Source organism: Homo sapiens, chromosome 13, assembly GCF_000001405.40.
Source record: "Homo sapiens chromosome 13, GRCh38.p14 Primary Assembly".
NCBI lineage: Eukaryota > Metazoa > Chordata > Mammalia > Primates > Hominidae > Homo > Homo sapiens.
Window position 1 is genome coordinate 28,408,107 of NC_000013.11, and position 19,012 is coordinate 28,427,118.

General features: G+C 41.5%; 1 protein-coding gene across 4 annotated transcripts in view, besides 2 other annotated features; it reads right to left on the reverse strand.

The window, feature by feature from the left end:
- The window catches only part of FLT1 (fms related receptor tyrosine kinase 1), a 194,783-nt gene that overhangs the window by 107,761 nt on the left and 68,010 nt on the right, over positions 1-19,012 (reverse strand). The window lies entirely within an intron of this gene.
- Positions 6,048-6,227: an enhancer, noted in NCBI's record as "active region_7512". NCBI's record gives its function as "activates an Ori minimal core promoter by ATAC-STARR-seq in GM12878 lymphoblastoid cells {active_cell/tissue: GM12878}" and the evidence as "EXISTENCE:reporter gene assay evidence [ECO:0000049][PMID:35858748]".
- Positions 14,920-14,969: an enhancer, noted in NCBI's record as "active region_7513". NCBI's record gives its function as "activates an Ori minimal core promoter by ATAC-STARR-seq in GM12878 lymphoblastoid cells {active_cell/tissue: GM12878}" and the evidence as "EXISTENCE:reporter gene assay evidence [ECO:0000049][PMID:35858748]".

The window sequence follows — 19,012 nt, forward strand, 5'->3', positions numbered from 1 at the left end:
TGTATTCCTTTTCCCCCAAAGCAAGGAAAAAGATCGGGGATACCTTAGTCAAAGATCTTAATTTCATACTCTTGGGCTTTAGGAAATGCAAAGAAATATGTTAGAGTAAGGCAAGCCTGGGTGTTTCTCAAGGGAAATACAGTCTGCTATCTGAGTTCACTTGGGGCTGTTGACCTCTGACACCCCACACCTCCCCCATCCCACACCCATGACTCTGAGGGCAGTTACTAAGGGCACAAGCCCTAGTATGGAAACTATAGGCCAGACTTATTGCCAGCTCTTCCACATAAAAAGGACAGATTCTGTGGCTATTTTCTAATTTAGGGGCTGTTATTTTTCCCTCTTTGTAATTGGGGCTATAAAAATAGAATGTCATTTAGAAGCCTTACTATATAACAGCACTTGAAAAGAGATTTAGGGGGAGGGGAATGTGCCTAAGCCTTAAGAATACATCAAGCTCTTAAGGAAGTAGATTGTGCCATGTTTGAAGATGCAAAGATAATCACTGTGCTGGGAACTGTCTTGAGGGGGGAGGAAGCCGAACAACAAGAGGAAAGCAGCGTTCGCTCCTGATTTCGCACAGGAAGTCCACAGCACCTCCTGCCAAAGCGAGATAAGAAAGCTCCCATGCACTATTCTGGACAAGGCCACTGTTATCAGCCTCAGCTCGGCGCTGTCCTCTCTTTGCTCCAAGCCTCCGTCCCTTTCCTAATGAGCTATATGACTCCTACCTCCATTTGCATACAGCATGCCAAGTACAATGGCAGGGAGGTATTTATAACCCCTGAAAGGAAAAAAAAAATTATGGGCTAAGAGTGTACTCCATGTCATCTCTGCTGATTGCTCTGGACCTGAAACAACTTAATTTCGGACTAGAGATTGATATAAATAAATTAAAAGAAAGCAGCCAATTATGTTTCCAACACATGGAGCTAGGACCTCATGTGTGATATGTCAGCCTTCTACATTCCAAGTGGGAGCCATCTGTGGAACTCCCCATCTGGTCTAAGTTACTAGTCTTCTTCTCTTGACACATTATGGGAAACTGCCACCCTCTATATATGCAGATGACACTACTGACCTACATGCTTTGGGTTGATTTTCTTGTAACAGTGATGAATTTGCCCTCTTCCCACCACACTCAAAAGTATTTGGCTTCTCTGTGACCAAAGACAGATGAAGGCAGTCTGGGGCCACAGAAAAAGGCAAAGCCAACAGAGGTCAAACCTACGATCTTTCTTTCTTTCTTTTTTTTTTTTTTTCTGTCACCCAGGCTGGAGTGCAGTGGAGCAATCTTGGCTTATTACAGCCTTGACCTCCTGGGCTCAACTGACCCTCCAACTTCAGCCTTCCGAGTAGCTGGGACTACATGTGTGTGCCATCATGCGAGGATAATTTTTGTATTTTTAGTGGAGATGGGGTTTAACCATGTTGCCCAGGCTGGTCTCGAACTCCTGGGCTCAAGCAATCTGCCTGCCTCAGCCTCCCAAGGTACTGAGATTACAGGTGTGAGCCAATGCTCCTGGCCAAACCTACCATCTTGACAGTATTGACTGCTGGCAGAATTTGTACTCAGTTCTGGATCATTTCAGAACCTGTGCACTTGACCCCAACACCATAAGTAACATGATATCCATGTACTACCATCATGTGACAAGAAATTATTATGCTTCAGTACTTCTTGGACATAGTAAGAAAAGACATCTCAAATATTCAGTACACAAATACCATTACTATGTTGAGGATTCCATGGCTTTTTTTTTTTTTAGCTACTTTTGCATAACATGGTCAGTCTCTTTCCAAAATTTGCTAAACATCTCTCATCTCACACAACCAAAATATGTTGAATGACCAGTGCATGCACAGTCTGCAATTACAGTTTATATTACAGTTTCTATGAGAGCTCACTTTGTCACCCTGCAGTTCCTGAATTCAAGACAGGTTCCATTCACCTTTACAAATCCAACACTCAATGAAGTATAATGCACAATGCACACCCAAAGGTACCCCTTTGTGTTCACCTGTGCTTTTTCTTAATTGCTGGTTTTTAACAATTCTTATTTTTAGATTTTCTTCACTCCTCCTGCCTTCCTCTCCCCTCCCCCTACTTAAAGCTCAGAGCTGGTACTTTCTTTCCTTTAGAGGATAGATTGTCACATCTGGTGGAATCAGAAGGGAAAGCCCAGCTGGGTGAGCGTTAGCTACTGATAGTAAGTATTGTGTTTTCTTTGAAGTGGTTCTCTTGTGAGGAAATGATCGATTCTCTTGGAGAATTGGGTGGGATGGTTCAACACTTCATTTAGCCTTTCTAGAAATTGCCCATCTGTTTAGTGCCTGTTATGGTACCCAAGACTCCTATAGCAATCCAGTATAAAATTCTCATTTCATAAATGATTTCCTGCCAGTCTAATAACCACATTGATTCTAGAAGGTCTGCTCTACAGCCTTAGTCTTAAGACACACAGATTTTTTTAAAAGGATCCTCTTTCAATAAATGATATTAAGCTGGCATTTCAAATCTCTGTTGTGCCAATATCTGATTCTTGGCTGCTTGAAGGGAAACAAGTTTTGTGAGCTGCTACTATGTGCTACTAAAGCTTGGGCTAGAAGCAATACACATTTTGCCTCAATTAGTTCTCACAGTCACCCTATGAAGCAAGCATTATGATCCTTATTTCATAAATCCTTTTATCAATAAGGAAACTGAGACTCAGAAAAATCAAATGCTTTGCTCAAGTTCACAGGGAAAGGAGCAGAATTAGGATCAGAACCCAGACTCTCCTAACTCTTCACTATCCCAGAGCTCTGTGCATCACGTAGGGTGACTTCTGATCCCAAGAAACCTCCCCAGACCTTTCCCACCATGGGAGAAGTCTGGCTCAGAGTCACCTGTTACAGAGGAAAACTCTGGGGGGCCTCTAAATTCAAACTAGCACAAAGTCAGACACCAGGAAAATTAAATTTATGTTTTTAAGAGGGAGAAAGAAGATGTGCCTGTCTATCGGTGGACAAGGACAGGGGCAAGGGGCAGAAGACTACTTTATAGTTACATTTTTGGCATAAATTCTAGTTCGTTTTGGTCATAAACATGCTTTGATGGTGAAATTATAGGAACTCTTTACCTTCTACTGGCTGATACATTTTATCATTAAAAAAAAAATCTGGCCAGGCGCTGTGACTCACACCTGTAAATCCCAGCACTTTGGGAGGCCGAGGCAGGTGGATCACCTGAGGTTGGGAGTTCGAGACCAGCCTGACCAATATGGAGAAACCCTGTCTCTACTAAAAATACAAAAATTAGCTAGGTGTGGTGGCCTGCAGTCCAGCTACTGGGGAGGCTGAGGCAGGAGAATCGCTTGAACCTGGGAGGTGGAGTTTGCAGTGAGCCAAGATCATGCCATTGCGCTCCAGCCTGGTCAAGAAGAGCGAAACTCCATCTCAAAAAAAAAAAAAAAAAAAAAACTTACAACAAAATAAAACCATCCAATATTTATCACAATTTTTTTCTCTCCTTGGTAACATATTTTTGTCTGCATGCTCAGTGAGCATGTTCTGGGATGAAGCTGGCCTGTTTTATTACAAACTCCAACACTAGAATGAGTGGCCCGGGGACAGGAGTGTGGGTGAGTGGTGATTTGAGTACCCAACACCCGATGGCTGCCTATTTGAGCCAGAGCCATTGTCTGGGAATGAATGTTTATATAAATGTATAATGAAAGCACATTTAATTTGGCAACAAAGAGGGTCCAGAAAGTTCTACAAAGTCTCAAGACAGATAATAATCTCCTTCTCTTTTTTTCTTTTTTGGATGATGAAATCTGAGGACTTGTGTGAACTCTGCTTATCTGTTTAATGAGATTGTACTGCACGTGCTAACTGTGATTAGAATCTGTTTGTAAAGAATATTGAATCATTTCAAGCTAGGAAACAAAAGGATAGAGGAGTAATGAAAAGCAAATTGAAGCTGTAAAATGTCTTTTAAAAAAATAGGAAGGAAAAAAAAGCCCATCTGGAACCCTGCCAGAGGGCACAACCGGGGCTGGCCCCCATTATGGCGGCCATCCTGTAGCAGGGCCTGATGTAAACATTCCTCTGCTACTGTGGGTGTCGTGTCAAAACATTAGCGATTGTGTGTCTGAGCCATCAGATTAACAGAATCTGCAAACACTATCTTTCCCCCTTCTCTTTCTTTTTCTCTTTCTCTTTCTTTCTTTCTTTCTTTCTTTTCTTTCTTTCTTTCTTTCTCTTTCTTTCTTTCTTTCTTTCTTTCTTTCTTTCTTTCTTTCTTTCTTTCTTTCTTTCTTCTCTTTCTCTCTCTCTTTCTTTCTTTTTTGAGACGGGGTCTCACTGTGTTCCTCAGGCTGGAGTGCAGTGGCACCATCCTGGCTCACTGCAACCTCCGCCTCCCAGGTTCAAGCGATTCTCCTGCCTCAGCCTCCAGAGTGGCTGGGATTACAGGCTTGTGCCACCACGTCTGGCTAATTTTTGTATTTTTAGTAGAGACGGGTTTTGCCATGTTGGCCAGGCTGGTCTCGAACTCCTGACCTCAAGTGATCCACCCGCCTTGGCCTCCCAAAGTGCTGGGGTTACAGGAGTGAGGCAACATCCCAGGCCCCTCACGTTCTTTTTTTTTTTTTTTTTTTTTTTTGAGACGGAGTCTCTCTCTGTCGCCCAGGCTGGAGTGCAGTGGCGCGATCTCGGCTCACTGCAACCTCTGCCTCCCAGGATTACAGGCCAGAGCCACCACGGCCGGCCACGTTCTCTTAAAACAGATGAAACAATATAGGAGAGTGGATGCTGGCAGAAAAAGGCGTAGCATTGGAAGGAGTGTTTAGACAGAATGGTTCCTGCTCCTCTTGCTCCAGGAAAAGGGCCTGGGCCTTCAGGGTGGTCACAGGGTCAGGCTGAGGAGATCCTGGAGGAGTGACTTTCTTGTGCAGTGAGAGACCTTGTGACGCCTTGGAGCTCATACTGAAAATTACTTCTTGCCTCAATGGAGAAGGGGGAGTGGAGAAGAGTTTCGGGGGTTGTGGGCTTTGGGTCGGCTCCCTGGACAATGGTGGAGGGGATCCAGCGTCCTGGGCCACCTCTGTTTAGATAAGAGCTTTTCCGTGAGCGTCTTGGCTCATGCTGCTTCCTGCTCTCGAGGGCCCTGTGGTCCATTCACACTCAGAACATGGCCCTTCTTCCCAGCCTCTGCTTTTCCTTCCTCCTGGCTCCTTCTGCTGGCTTCTAGAGTGAGTGCCAGCAATCTCCCCGCCCTCCACCCCCCAAGCCAGACACTCTCTCCCTCCCAGCTCCCCACTCTCCTTCACACAGTCTTTTCCAGGGCCAGGGGATCCTCGTGGCCCCGCACTGGGGTAACTGAAAGGCTAAAAGAGTGGGTGTTTACTTGGCTACACCCAGATAGGAGCCTCACAGGATACCTATTTTGTTCATTCACTTTTCTTCTTAGTGAAGGACTAGTTGGTGAGGAAGGGTGATTTGAGAAATAAGAAATCTTTAAAAAAATATTAGGAGTGCCTACAAAAAATATCCTTTAACACATTCAAGAAGGAGGCTTAAAATAGTAGCTGCATTCACTCAGTGGAGAATATTTTAAGCTATCATTATATTTTGTTCTCACAAAAAGGAAGAGAACAGCTTACTTCTTATTTAGTGGTCAATACTGAAACATCCAGAAAGCTTTTGGGAGTGGAGGTAGGGAATCACAGGTTAGCATAAGAAACATAGATGTTAGAGCTAGTCAGACCTGAGGTGAAATCATGGTTTTATAACATCCTAGTTATGTAACTGTGGATGTCAAAAACCTGACTTTGAGAATCGTAGTCACAGAAGATTGCTCAGAGGGCTTACCAGTCTTGTTGATTTCTTGTATCATTCTAAAATTTTGTCCTTAGATCACACCAGCCCACAAAATCACTTTTAATAAATTCTGCTTTGGTGCTATGTCATTGGCCAACATTGAGGGATGTTAGTTACCAGAGCTGACACTCACTGTGGAAGAAGTGTGGTCAGGGAGTTTGCCTACTATTAGTGTCCCGCAGCGTATGAGAGAAGAAATCATTTCTCTTGGATCTCAGTTCTCTGAAAGGTATCTTATGAGCCCCTTAATTTTGCAAATGTTTGTTTCACTTCTTCTCGCTCTTGACAACTGGAAAGTAAAGCCTGTGGGCCGTAACTCCATACTAGTCTTACACATTTTTTGACTTCACCAAGGCTGCTTAGTTATGTATTGTCCTTTTTGTGAACTACCTCAAATTCTTTGGGAATGGATGTGTTCTTAGCATAGCCAACTCAAAAAAGCAACCCCATGCTACCATGTCTTACTAGTTTTATTACAGGCACTAAAAATGCACACATAAGGGAAATAATTTAAATAAAGAATTGAAAGAAGATTGGTTTGACATCAGCAAATATTAGGGTGATACTTAATGTGTAACACACTTAGCACAGTGCCTGGCACACAGGAAACAAATCATTAATGTTAGTTGTCAGTTTATTATCTGATTTCATCGAGAGCTACTTACGTATGGACAGGGACTATATTTTGTTCATCATTATAGCTTTGGTGCCTGGCCCAATCACTTGGGAAACAGTGGGTGAGCAACACTTGTCTTTTGCTCAGTTAACTCCCTGATGAAAGAGTGGATCCTGCCAAAGAATGGCCAGATGAGATGTGGACCCAATCACACATCAGATGTCAACCCTACCTCACATCAGATGTCAACCCTGCCATCTACACTTCAATCAAGTGTGCTGAAAAAGGGGCTCTAGTGACTGTCAAATGACCTCACATACACCCCTGACCTAAGCACTATGTCACCACCATCAGCACCTCTCCATTTGCAATGATGAATATTAATGGATACATGGGATCTGCCAGGGCCCTGGCTAACCTCAGCACAGCAGTGTCAGCACCTGACAAACCCATAGTCATGGACAGTTTCAACTCAGGCAAGGATGCTGACATGCAAAGCAGTGTCATCCAGTCTAATGGCAAATAGGAAACTGACTGGCAATGGCCTCCTCTTCTTGCCTATCTTCAAAGATAGGCACAAATATTGGCTTGTCAATAATAGCACCACTTTGCCCGGGTGCGGTGGCTCATGCCTGTAATCCCAGCACTTTGGGAGGCCAAGGCAGACGGACCACCTGAGGTTGGGAGTTCGAGACCAGCCTGACCAACATGGAGAAACCCTGTCTCTACTAAAAATACAAAAAATTAGCCAGGCGTGGTGGCGCATGCCTGTAATCCCAGCTACCTGGGAGGCTGAGGTAGGATAATTGCTTGAACCCGGGAGGCAGAGGTTGCAGTGAGCCAAGATCGCGCCACTGCACTCCAGCCTGGGCAACAACAGCAAAACTCCATCTTAATAATAATAATAATAATAATAGCACCATTTTATTCAACTAAAACAGAGTTTGCTCACTCCTATCTCATGTAAGATGTAAAATCACACCCCTTGCAAGAATTAGATGATTTAATTCCTTCTGTTATTTAGAAACATATATGTTTATTGAAGAGACAAGTCAAATTCATGGAAACATATCAGAATACAATTGAGCACAGGCAAGTAAAATGACAAAAGCCCATATACTACTATAGGCTGAACAAGACTTGGGTGATTGACCATTTGAATAGCTGAGGTAGAATTCACCAATGAGAGTAGATCCTTGGATACTGTAACTCCTTTGATTTCCTAAATAATCTGAAACAGCCACCATTTCTGGTCCCATTCTGATTTCTTTGGAATAAACAGTCAGAGGACCTGTCCCAAGATGCAAATATATTTCCTGGGAGAACATTAACCTAATAGCATGGATCATCTTGTCAGGACATTAGTGTGTATATGATGCCACTTCAGAGGGAAGTGGCTTTGCAGTGGGCAGCCCCAGAGCTGCCTAAAAGTACTAGAAGTACCAGGTACCTTTCAGCAAACAAACTTAGCACTCGCAATGTACCAGCCACTGTGCTGAGTACTTCACACCTATTATGACATTTAACTTCCTCAAACAACCTTATGATGTCAGTGCTGTTAACTCCATTTGTAGATGAGGAAACCCAGACTCAGAGAGGTGGTTTATTTTGCCCAGAATCATACAGCCAATGGATGCCAGTAGGTGGCAGAGCCAGGACTCAGGCAACAGAGCCCACGTCCTTAAACTCTAAACTATGTTGCATCTCTTGATGTCACCACACTGGTTTTCAGGATTGTGAGCTTTTGATGTCACCCTACTGGTTTTCAGGATCGTGAGCTTTTGACTAAAAATGACTCATTTTAATGTCTAAGTAGTTGTGACACAACCAATCCTGGTAGTGACAAATGATATGCTTTCAATTGCCTGGTTGATGTTGTGCTGGAAAGCTGCTCACTTTCAGGCTCTTTGACATGTTAACCAGGACTAGTGTCCTAATAAGATACTCAAACTCTCTACCTGATCTGGAAAATGGTAATAATTCTAGCATTTCTCTTAGAGAAGTTCTGTGATAATTAAATGAGATGATGCATATAAAGCACATATCCAGCACTTAACACCACATAGGTAAATGCTTAATAACTTAGCTATAAAGAAAATAAAAATAGGAACCCCAGGCTATACAGCCTCTATCAGCCACCATCTTCTATTATATTTGGCTCTAGATGGTCTTTAAGTACCAATTTTTGTTTTCCTCATCCTACGTGTTCAAGTACTTTTTTCATACTCACAAGGGCTGATTTGTCAATAAGGTAGCAATCAGTGATCATCTTATATAATTTTCAATGATGATGACAAGGCAAATGGAACATTAAAGACCTAAGAAATTGGAATAACATGCACCCATGTAATGTTTTTTAAAAGGGTGAGTGAAAACCCAAGACTTTGATTTTCAGGCATGGAGGGTAGAGTTTCTGAGATACAGTGCGCATACTGCAGGCTGAAGGAGTGCCACAGGTAGAAGACCACCAATAATAAGTCTGTGAAAGTCCATCAGCCTGGAAGGAGGGACAAAGTGGGCTTCTGGCCAATAGATAGCAGAACATCCAGGCACTAGCCAGGTAGTGACTGCCTGCCTCAACCATTCAGCCTCTACTGAAAAAATTTCACATCAGGTCCAAAATTACCTTTCCAATTTTGGTTTTTATTTTTTCTCAACCAAATCTGATGAACCAACCACATTCATCTCTGGCAAGTTCTTTTCAACTTTCCAACCCGTTTGTATGCCTGTGTTACTGCATCACATCTTTGTCCCTCTCCCCTTCCATTTAACTTTCCAAGATCTACCCATCCTCTTCAGGGCCCGGATCCCACCTCCTCCTTGGTGCGGCCTCTAAACTGCAACATTCACCATCTACCACCCATGGTCGGCTCGTTTGGCCAGATTATAAGCACCTCCCATGGAGACTCAATACAGTGTTATGGTGGAAATAATAGTAAACAGGAAATCAGAGACATGCATCTAGTCCCGAGCTTGCCATTAAGTAGCTGTGAGATGAGATAACTATTTATCTTTGAGCCACAATTTCTCACCTATAAAACAATCTCTTTTTAAAAATTAAATCTTTAACATTCCTTAATTCCGTTTTTTTTTTTTTGAGATGGGGGTCCTGCTATGTTGCCCAGGGCTCCTGGGTTCAAACAATCCTCCCACATAGCTAGGATTACAAGAGCACGCCACTGTGCCTGGCTCAACATTCTTCAATGCTGAGTGAATTAATCGTTTGAAGTGACTAGGTCAAGGCATGCCGAGGCTGAAATTAGCAGCCTCTATGTCCCCATTTCATTCCCTCATCAACTACAAACCCTCATGTTTCCTCCTTCATTTTCTTTTGACCCCTCCTTTTCATCTCCTTTAATTGCTCTCCTGACTAAATAGCCATGAGTTTTGTGAGGCCCACTGAGGGCTGAGTGCTTGCTGAATCCTAATCCAGGACATTAATTCTGAACAATAAATGAGAGAATGGGGCTTCCCTGCCCTGCAAGAGATCAAATACCCCTGGATGGTGGGAAAATCACAGAAAAGGACAATACGAATAGGGGAAAGTGCCACAATAAGCAGGCCCATTAACTGTTAGTTAGACTTGCCACCCTCCTGAGGCTGGTCTTATTTAGACCTGCTCATCCCACTGGAGTTTATACTCCAGTTTCTACTCCCAACTGCAGATCTGGGGCCCAAGACAGCTGTAGGTCATCACTGGTTCTCAAAGATATCATGAAATTTGAGCCCAATTCACCTATTTGCTGCTCGTCTTTTTCTCCTTTCCTCTCCCATCCTCTGCTCAACTCTAACTCAACAGATGGGTCAGCTCTAACTCACGACAGACAAGAGCAAACCTACCAGGTTAGGCAGGCGCCCTCCCAAACCTATTCCCTGCAGACTTCAGCTCTTTCCTCTGGGAATCCACAGGGATGTCCTCTGAGGAGTCCTATGGGACACCAGGGAAAAATAACCTTCTGGAAGACCAATCTATCTAGCCCCTTGTATTTTATTTATTTATTTATTTAAGACAGGGTCTCACTCTGTCTCCCAGGCTGGAGTTCAGTGACGACTGCAGCCTCAACCTCCCGGGCTCAAGCCTTCCTCCCGTCTCAGCCTCCTGAGTAGCTGGAACCATAGGCGCATGTCACCATGCCCAGCTAATTTTTTTTATTTTTATCTTTTTGTAGAGATGGGGCCTCTCTATGTTGCCCAGACCGGTCTCTGCAACTCCTGGGCTCAACTGATCCTCTCACCTCAGCCTCCCAAGTGCTGGGATTATAGTCATGAGCCACTGTACCCAGCCCTCCCCCTTTATACCATAATCTGAAAACACCTGAGAAATAACTCCCTGAGCTTCAGTTTTACTTATGGGAAAATAGGGCAAGTAATCACCATTCCGTAAAACTGTTGTTCAGATTAGAGATAATGTGTGTAAAGGGATGAACATGGCTTTTGGCACCAAAAATGACTTATTGATTAAGTCTATCACAGCTATTATAATGAAGTAGACCATTGCATTCAAGGTGGCAAAACGTCCTAGGAGGCTTCTAGAGAAAGTATGAAGAAACAAGGGCTAGTGATTAGAAGCTCATTAAAAGGCACTGTCAGGGCCAGAGTCTAAATCCATCATGCCCTTTCCATCTTATCAATCCAACAGGTTCTGCTTTGTCACCTAAAAGGGCACTGATTTTACATTAAAGTCACATAGATACCATATTTTAAGAAACAATCTACCAAGTCAGTGAAGATATACTAAAATGTAGATCCCCAGGCAGAAGTGCATGTTTTATAAGTGATTTGTTCTACTTATCTATCACCTAAAGATCTTGTGTCAGGACATTAGTTTCTAGATTCAATAATAAAAATGCTCATTCAATTTTTAAAAATCTGTAAATTTGGCCAAAGACAATCTGAGAGGTTCTGCCAATCTTCTTAAGGAATCTTCACAAATTTTGTGTCACTATCTTCTGGTAACCTGAGAAGCTACACTGAATCTTGCTGAAAAGATCACTATAAAAACCATCCAGCGGCCGGGTGCGGTGGCTCATGCCTGTAATCCCAGCACTTTGGGAGGCCGAGGCGGATGGATCACGAGGTCAGGGGATCGAGACCATTCTCGCTAACATGGCGAAACCGCGTCTCTACTAAAATTACAAAAAATTAGCCAGGTGTTGTGGCACGCGCCTGTAGTCCCAGCTACTTGGGAGGCTGAGGCAGGAGAATCACTTGAACCCAGGAGGCGGAGGTTGCAGTGAGCCGAGATCGTGCCACTGCACTCCAGCTTGGGCGACAGAGCAAGACTCCGTCTCAAAACAAAAAACAAAAAACATCCCGCATAGATTTCCTGTGACTCAGCCTTTTAGTTTAATTTAAAACACATAATGAAATGTTTGATAGCAATTACAGGAGACAGTTAACTCATTAGAAACAATTATTCATCATATTCACTGTATTACTAAGAAGAGTGGGAAAAGGAGGAAAATCTCACAAAGCAGAGAAAAGTGGCAAAGGGGCCTTTGGCAAAAGAACTCATGCTCTGTTCTCAGGACTTTGTATGAAATATTAATAAGGGCTGTTGTCCGAACAGTCACATTAAGCAGCATGCACTTCCTCGTCCAGTAATTATATAACAGAATGCAAGAAGTTTCTCATTAGTAAGTGAACATTCACTTTTGGCTTGTGATGAAAGCCTCCTGTATAAGATGGCCAGTTTTATTTGGCTGTTTGTTCAAGCTCAAAGTCCTGCTAAAGTGGTCTTTGGTCAAGTGGTCTTCTTTAAAGTCCTCATTTTGATTCAAGGTTTTGTTTGTGGTAAATTAAAATTCTCTGTAGCATGGCTGAATTGAGGCTGCATACCCAGACACACACTGCATAGAATATATGTTGAGACACATGGATGGATACAAATTGTATGTGTACTTAGGAAGAATGTGATCAATATTAAAACATGAGGTATGTGACCGTATTTCCAAAAGAAGAGGTCTTAAATTATAGCTTCCCTCAGACATCTGACCTACATTTTGCCCCCAGGAAATGTTGACTTTTTCAATTTTTATAGTGTTAAAACTTTCATTGTGTAGGTGGAAAATAAAATATGGGACATAAAACTGTTACAGCATAAAAATAATAGACATTCATGTTGGCAGTCAATTAAATTTGGGTCTTTGAGTACATTTCTAATTAACTACCATTAACAATTGTCTTGTTTCTGTCCTGTTAATTTTACATACCCCACTGATGCGCCAAACTATGTTTCCCCCAAATGATCTATCCCTAACACATCCCTAATGACTCAGGCCCTCCTTTCTTTGCCAATTTGCTGACGTAAACAATAGAGAAATGCAATTAGGCAAGCCCCTCTCGGAAGCCCTTCTCAGAGTTCCTAGATGCCTCTGCTTTTCTGTGATATTGTAGGCCACCCCACCCCCCATCCCCGGATGGAAGGCAGTAAACCACCCTTACTCTTAGAGTGGTCAGCTTTCTCTTGACACCATCCACCCCAGCCCCCCATAGTACTCTACTGCTGGTGCACACGAAGAGTGTTTCAGACATGAGATGTCACATTGTCATTGAGAATGGCGGGAAACATTATTTTCTAGTTAACTTCTAAAGCATGTAACTATTTTAGACTCCAGTCCTGACCTACTTTTAGAGTTTTGCAAGCGGTTCCTTGAGAGTCCATGCATGTCTACTAGATTTTTCTTAGAAAACCCCCCATTTTATCTAAGAAAGCCAAAAGAATAATGTTCTCCCTCAACCTTCCATGAGTTGAGAACCCAACATTTTTCACACCCTGAAGGGACTCATCTGCAGAAGAGCAAATAAAGCAGGCAAAGCTTTAGAGCTAACTGGGCAGAGAATGAGCATGCCTTCATTTGTTTGGGCTGGATCGAGGCTGGCAAGGTGGTCCAGGTTGGCACTGCGGAAAATACGGCTTGGCCCCAATGGTGGAGGAGCTGCTGCACTTTTTTTTTTCCTTACTGGGCCCTTATTAACATTATAATCACAGAGTCAGTTTTGTATCACAGAGTTTGTACCTCCATTTAAGACTTTTCTGACAGCCATTCTACTTTCATAAGTTGAAATTTTCTGTTAATTTGTTACCGATCCTCAGAGTTAATGGTCAAATTGCCTTACAGTTTACAAGAAACAGAAGGGAAACATCAGTGTGCAAACACTGGGAAATACTTTCAAGCCCTTTTGAAGGAAGAAAATATAATTTACAGTGATTTTCTAAGTTAACTCATTCATAGCTGTGTATGATAGGAAAGGGGAAGCACGACCATTGCCATTTACAGAAGGGGAAATAGAAACACAGATTAAAGAACTGGCCAAGGTCACACAGAAGTCAGGGACGGTGCCAAGAATAGAACTTGCTTCCTTGATTCCCAATTCTCTATCCTTGGGAGGATGTAGTAGATATTTTACAGATACATATATAGATCCAATAAGTAATCACCAAATATGTTTAATCTTGTATAATGCAAACATAAATGCTAAAGACAAGTGGTATTACCTTTATGTTTTACACGTGGTTGGTGCCTAATAAATATTTGTGTGATGAGCAGATGGTTGACAGTATATTTAGATTGAATATCAGTGACGTGCCAAGTTGCTTTGTAAGATGTCAGCAATATTAATGCAATGTAGACAGAAATGTTTCTCTACATATTTTGACTAGTTATCACAGATAGCTTATAAAGAAAACGAGTTTTTTCACAAAGAACCCGATGTTACCTAAGTTTTTTTCCCATGAGTGGGGAATAACTTAGTACGTGGTACAACTCTGTCTATTATAATCAATCAGTGTTACTTCTTCCTTTGAAACTATGATTTGTGATAATTATATAGGGAGAGAGAATTAAACTGGACTGTGATCTAAAGAATGTGTGCTCTCAAAACAAAACTGCAGTAATCAAAGGCTGCAGGCATTGAACCTCCCTAGAATAAAGACCCAAACACATTCAACATTTTAGAAACAGATCTTTGTTTTAGAAAGAAGAAAAGACAATCCAGAAACAACCAGGTGGACTCTAGACACCCATGGAGGAGGTGATCAGAGCTCATGAGAGTACCAGGAAGGAGATCAGCAGAAGCCCCCCACCATCCCGTTTGTGGGGAACAGATGAGCGCAAAGACCCATTCAGGCCACACAATTGTCCAGTCAGCTACCCGAGGGTCTCCTTGGTATTCAAGCACACGTAAAGAAAAGTAGACTTTCAACATCTTAGATTCTTCCTGAGAAAACAGTGATCTGCAGCACAAACTGATTATGCCAAGACTGTCCTTGCCCTATCCTCTCCTGGGTTCCTGAAATCCACCCTTTCCATTCCACAGAGAAGGTCCCCTTCCCTCCAGTCCTGTATTATTATTGTTCCTTTAGAAACCAACCAACCTCCTTGCCATGGACAATCTTATCTAAATAGTATCTCCTGTGAGGCTGCATCAGTACTCTGGCAGAGTTCATGGAGGACTGTAAGATCAAGCGGAGCTCAGTCCTTGGGGGGTTTACTCGTACTACTTAGTTGTTCAAAATGCAGGCGGAACGTGAAGTTCTAGAAATTGAAAGTGGACTGGCTGAGCAGGCATCAGCTCCCCCACATGCCCAGTCAGCCCACCCCAGCCTCAGCCAACCCACAGGGCAGAACCACTTCCTCTCATGACAGGAAACCAATGAATGGGGCAGGCCACACGAACTGGGAGAATTACTTCATTCCCTCATGACACCCTTCCATTTACTCTTCCTTTTACTTTTGTCTAACTCTTCTGTAGTTCCTTAATTTTTCTTCTTCTGAAAAGTCATATTTTCCTGAATTCCACAGCCACCCTCCACCCCAGACCTACTAAATTACTATTCTTAAAGCACAACAAAACTGCATTTTACATTCCATAATTTGCATTCATTTCTTAGAAATGTTTGGCAAAACTGCTCACTGTTGTCAAACTAGCTCTATAGTAGGCAGAAATATCCTTTAAGTTCATTAAAGGTTCTCAGGTCTTATTTAAAGAAATGTACCCCAATGCTAGCAATGATTACAACCTTGCAAATCTGTGGTGCTCTGTAACTTTCTAAATACATTACCTCATTCGATCCTCATAGTCTCTCTATGAAGTGTATATCATTATCTTTACTTTATATGAGCAGAGGCTGCAAGCTATAGACATGTGGAAGGCACTATATGCTTAACATCCTTATGATGCTCTCTGGCTTTTTGCTCAGACTCATGGGAGCAGGTTTAGGAATATCTATTTAGAAGTCTACCTGTTGGCTGAGGATGAGAAAAATAAAATATTCCACCTTATTCAGTGTTGATAACTTATTTTGGTGTTATTAATATTCAAAAGAGATATCACAGTTTTATTATCACTTTTCTTTTCTTTCTTTTTCTTTTTTTTCTGAAGCGGAGTTTCGCTCTTGTTGCCCAGGCTGGAGTGCAGTGGTGCGATCTCAGCTCATTGCAACCTCCACCTCCCAGGTTCAAGCAATTGTCCCTGAGCAGCTGGAATTATAGGTGCCTGCCACCGCTCCTGGCTAATTTTTGTATTTTAAGTAGTGGCGGGGTTTCATTATGTTGCCCAGGCTGGTCTCAAACTCCCGACCTCAGGTGATCCTCCTGCCTTGGCCTCCCAAGGTGTTGGGATTACAGGTATGAGCCACTGCACCTGGCCCCACTTTCCTTTTTTTAATTAAAAAAAAAACTAAAAAGGGAAAGATTCTGCTTTATTTCTTCTTGGTTCATTACCTGTATGAGTTTAAAAGTAATCATCCTTTCCCTCCTCTCTTTTATTCCTAATGTTTTATAAGAACAAATTCTAGGCAAAACGAAAGCCACAATATTACTCAGTCAAAACTTAGCTCGCCTTCATAGCATATTTTACTACTTTTTTTTTAAAGGGTGACATTTTCAGTTGAACTATCGGTAGTTATAATAACTTAACATATTTACATATTTATTAGACTCTAAGACACTAAATAATTTGAGTTAGGTCTGAACCTCTTTCTATAGTAGATACATTAACTGTCTGGCCATATTAAACCAATTAATAGTTTTGAGCTCCTTAAACAAGTACATTCTGTCCTCAAACTAAGCGAATGCTTTGGCCGTGGATATACATAGATACGCCCTTTCACTAGAGCCTAAAATTTAAATGCCAGGAATTATTCTACGTATTTGAGAGTAATGTGCATATATTAGTCACCCAATCTCTTTTGATGATCATGTATAGACACCAGTATGCAAATATGTTACCATATAACTCAAAATAAGTGCAATGGAGCATTTCTTACTCATGTGTTACTAAAATTCCTGTCTACAACTGAATCTAAGTTAGTCTAAGTGTATATAAATATGTTTATATAAAGACATATTTGAGAACTTTTGGTAATTAAAGAGGGTTTCATTTATCTATAAATTTTAGCTTCATCTCTCTGAGAGGGTGAAAGAGTGGTTCTGTTTATTTTCTGGTGTACAAAGTTTCTACATATATTTCTGAAACACCTCTAAGTTAACTGTACTGATTTAACCACCAAGCACCAAATCTGGGCCTCACACAGGTAGGCTACTCAATTAGTACCTGCTGACTAATGTACATCGAGCTGTCATTCTTGTACATCAAAGATGTGTACGTTTTTGGCAGATAATTTCAAGCAGCAACGTATTAAAGAAATAAAGCATATGCAACCTTAAACTTCCATTTGTGATCAGTCTTGTAAGTAGTGAAAAAAAATGCCTTGAACAGAGAATAATTCAAATGGCCAACAAACATTTAAGGTAATGCTCTGAGTCTTGAGACCATTCTGAAAGGAATAAGACATGTTTTCAGGCCTTGGCGAACTTATTCCATCACACAGAAGAGAGATCCCTTACACCACAAAGAAATTGGAAAGAAAGCTAATGTTTACAAAGTTCCATTCGAGGTGGCCTCATTCCCCAAACCATATTTTATTAGCATCACTTAAACCCAAATTTATAAATATTATGTTCTATCACCATAATTGTTATTTTCTAACATAGTTACTAGTTCTAATCCTAGATAGAATAGAAATTTTAGATTTAATATTGCCAAAACAAAATTTAAATATATTTAGAAAAGGCTCTGTTATTCCAGAAAAATTCAACTCTACACTTTTATCCGAATCTAATAGCTTCAATTATTTAGTTTTTTTTTTATTTATTTGCATGTTAGGTTGGCACATATGTCAAGACCCTAAACGGATGGGTCGATAAATATTGATGCATACCCCAAATTTGCAAAATAGTATAGAATTTCAGTAGATCTCACTGTCTTATGTGTTAAACATTCACAGTGGTAAAGAAGATATTTAAGATTTGTAAGTCTTCTCTATTTCTATTCTTAGAAAATGACAGTCAAATGAGAAATCAGATGTGTGGAAAACAGCTACTTCCCAGGAATTCCATAGCTCACCAGTAACTTTCCACTCTGAGAGTAATACACCCTAAGCAAAACGAGTTGGAATTGTGGGAAGAATCTAGAAAATCAAATAGCCACTTCTATCTGTTTATGTTAGGATTATGCTTTGTTTACTTTTCCTGTCAATCTTTTTTTTTTTTTTTTTTTGAATAACAATCCTCCTGAACACTCTGCAAGTGGAGTTAAAAGTAATAAGGAAAATAGTTTGGCATAATGATAATCCTTGGGCAGTTTCAATAATATCTTATTGTTGCACCTATCAAGTCTATTCCTGTTCTTCAAATTAGCTCCCATAAACTATCCTTAGTATCATCCCTCTAGACTAAACAAAAAGAGGAAAAAGCAAACAAGGCTCAGTCATCAACAGGATGCAAGGAAATGCTGCACAATTAGCAGAGGGTAGGGATGTATTCATTTAGCAAATATACACTAAGTATCTACTGTGTGCCAGCCTTGGCCCAGCCTAAAGACACAAGGGTGCTCTCAATCAGCTCTTAGCTTAGAGAGAGACAAACCTTTGCGCATCGAGTGATGTAACAAGGGCGTGAACAAAGTGCTGTTCATACTGAGGGGGAAGAAGTGATTCTGAATGAGGCAGTGAGGAGAGTTCACAGAGAAGGTGACGTAAGAGCTGAGCCATGGGGTTTGATAAATAAAGCCCTCTTAGGAGGCAGGCAATGGGTGGAGGTGCATTTCAGACAGATGGAAGAGCAAAGCCCAAAAGTAGGAAACATAGTGATCACTGGTGTTGGGAAGAACTTGGATCATAACCAAAGAATACAAAATGAAAAATGGGAATGCTAATGCAACTGACATAGTGGTATTGCCAAAGTCTAGGGATCTTCAGTTGAGAAACAGGAGACCAGAGTTCCAACCTGAGCTCATGTCACAGCTCATGGGAGGACCTTAGTTTTGTGCTTGTGCTTCTAAAACTGTAAACTAGAGAGAAAAATTATGAAATTGTTAGCCAGTGATAGGGTATATTCAGTAAGAAAGAAGAGTAGCTGTTGCCCACCTTTTTCCAAGGCAGGGAGAGCCTTTGCCTCAAATATACAGTACATCCCACATGCAGATTCCCATCTGCGTCCATTAAAAAATCTTAATTCCAGGTGTCAA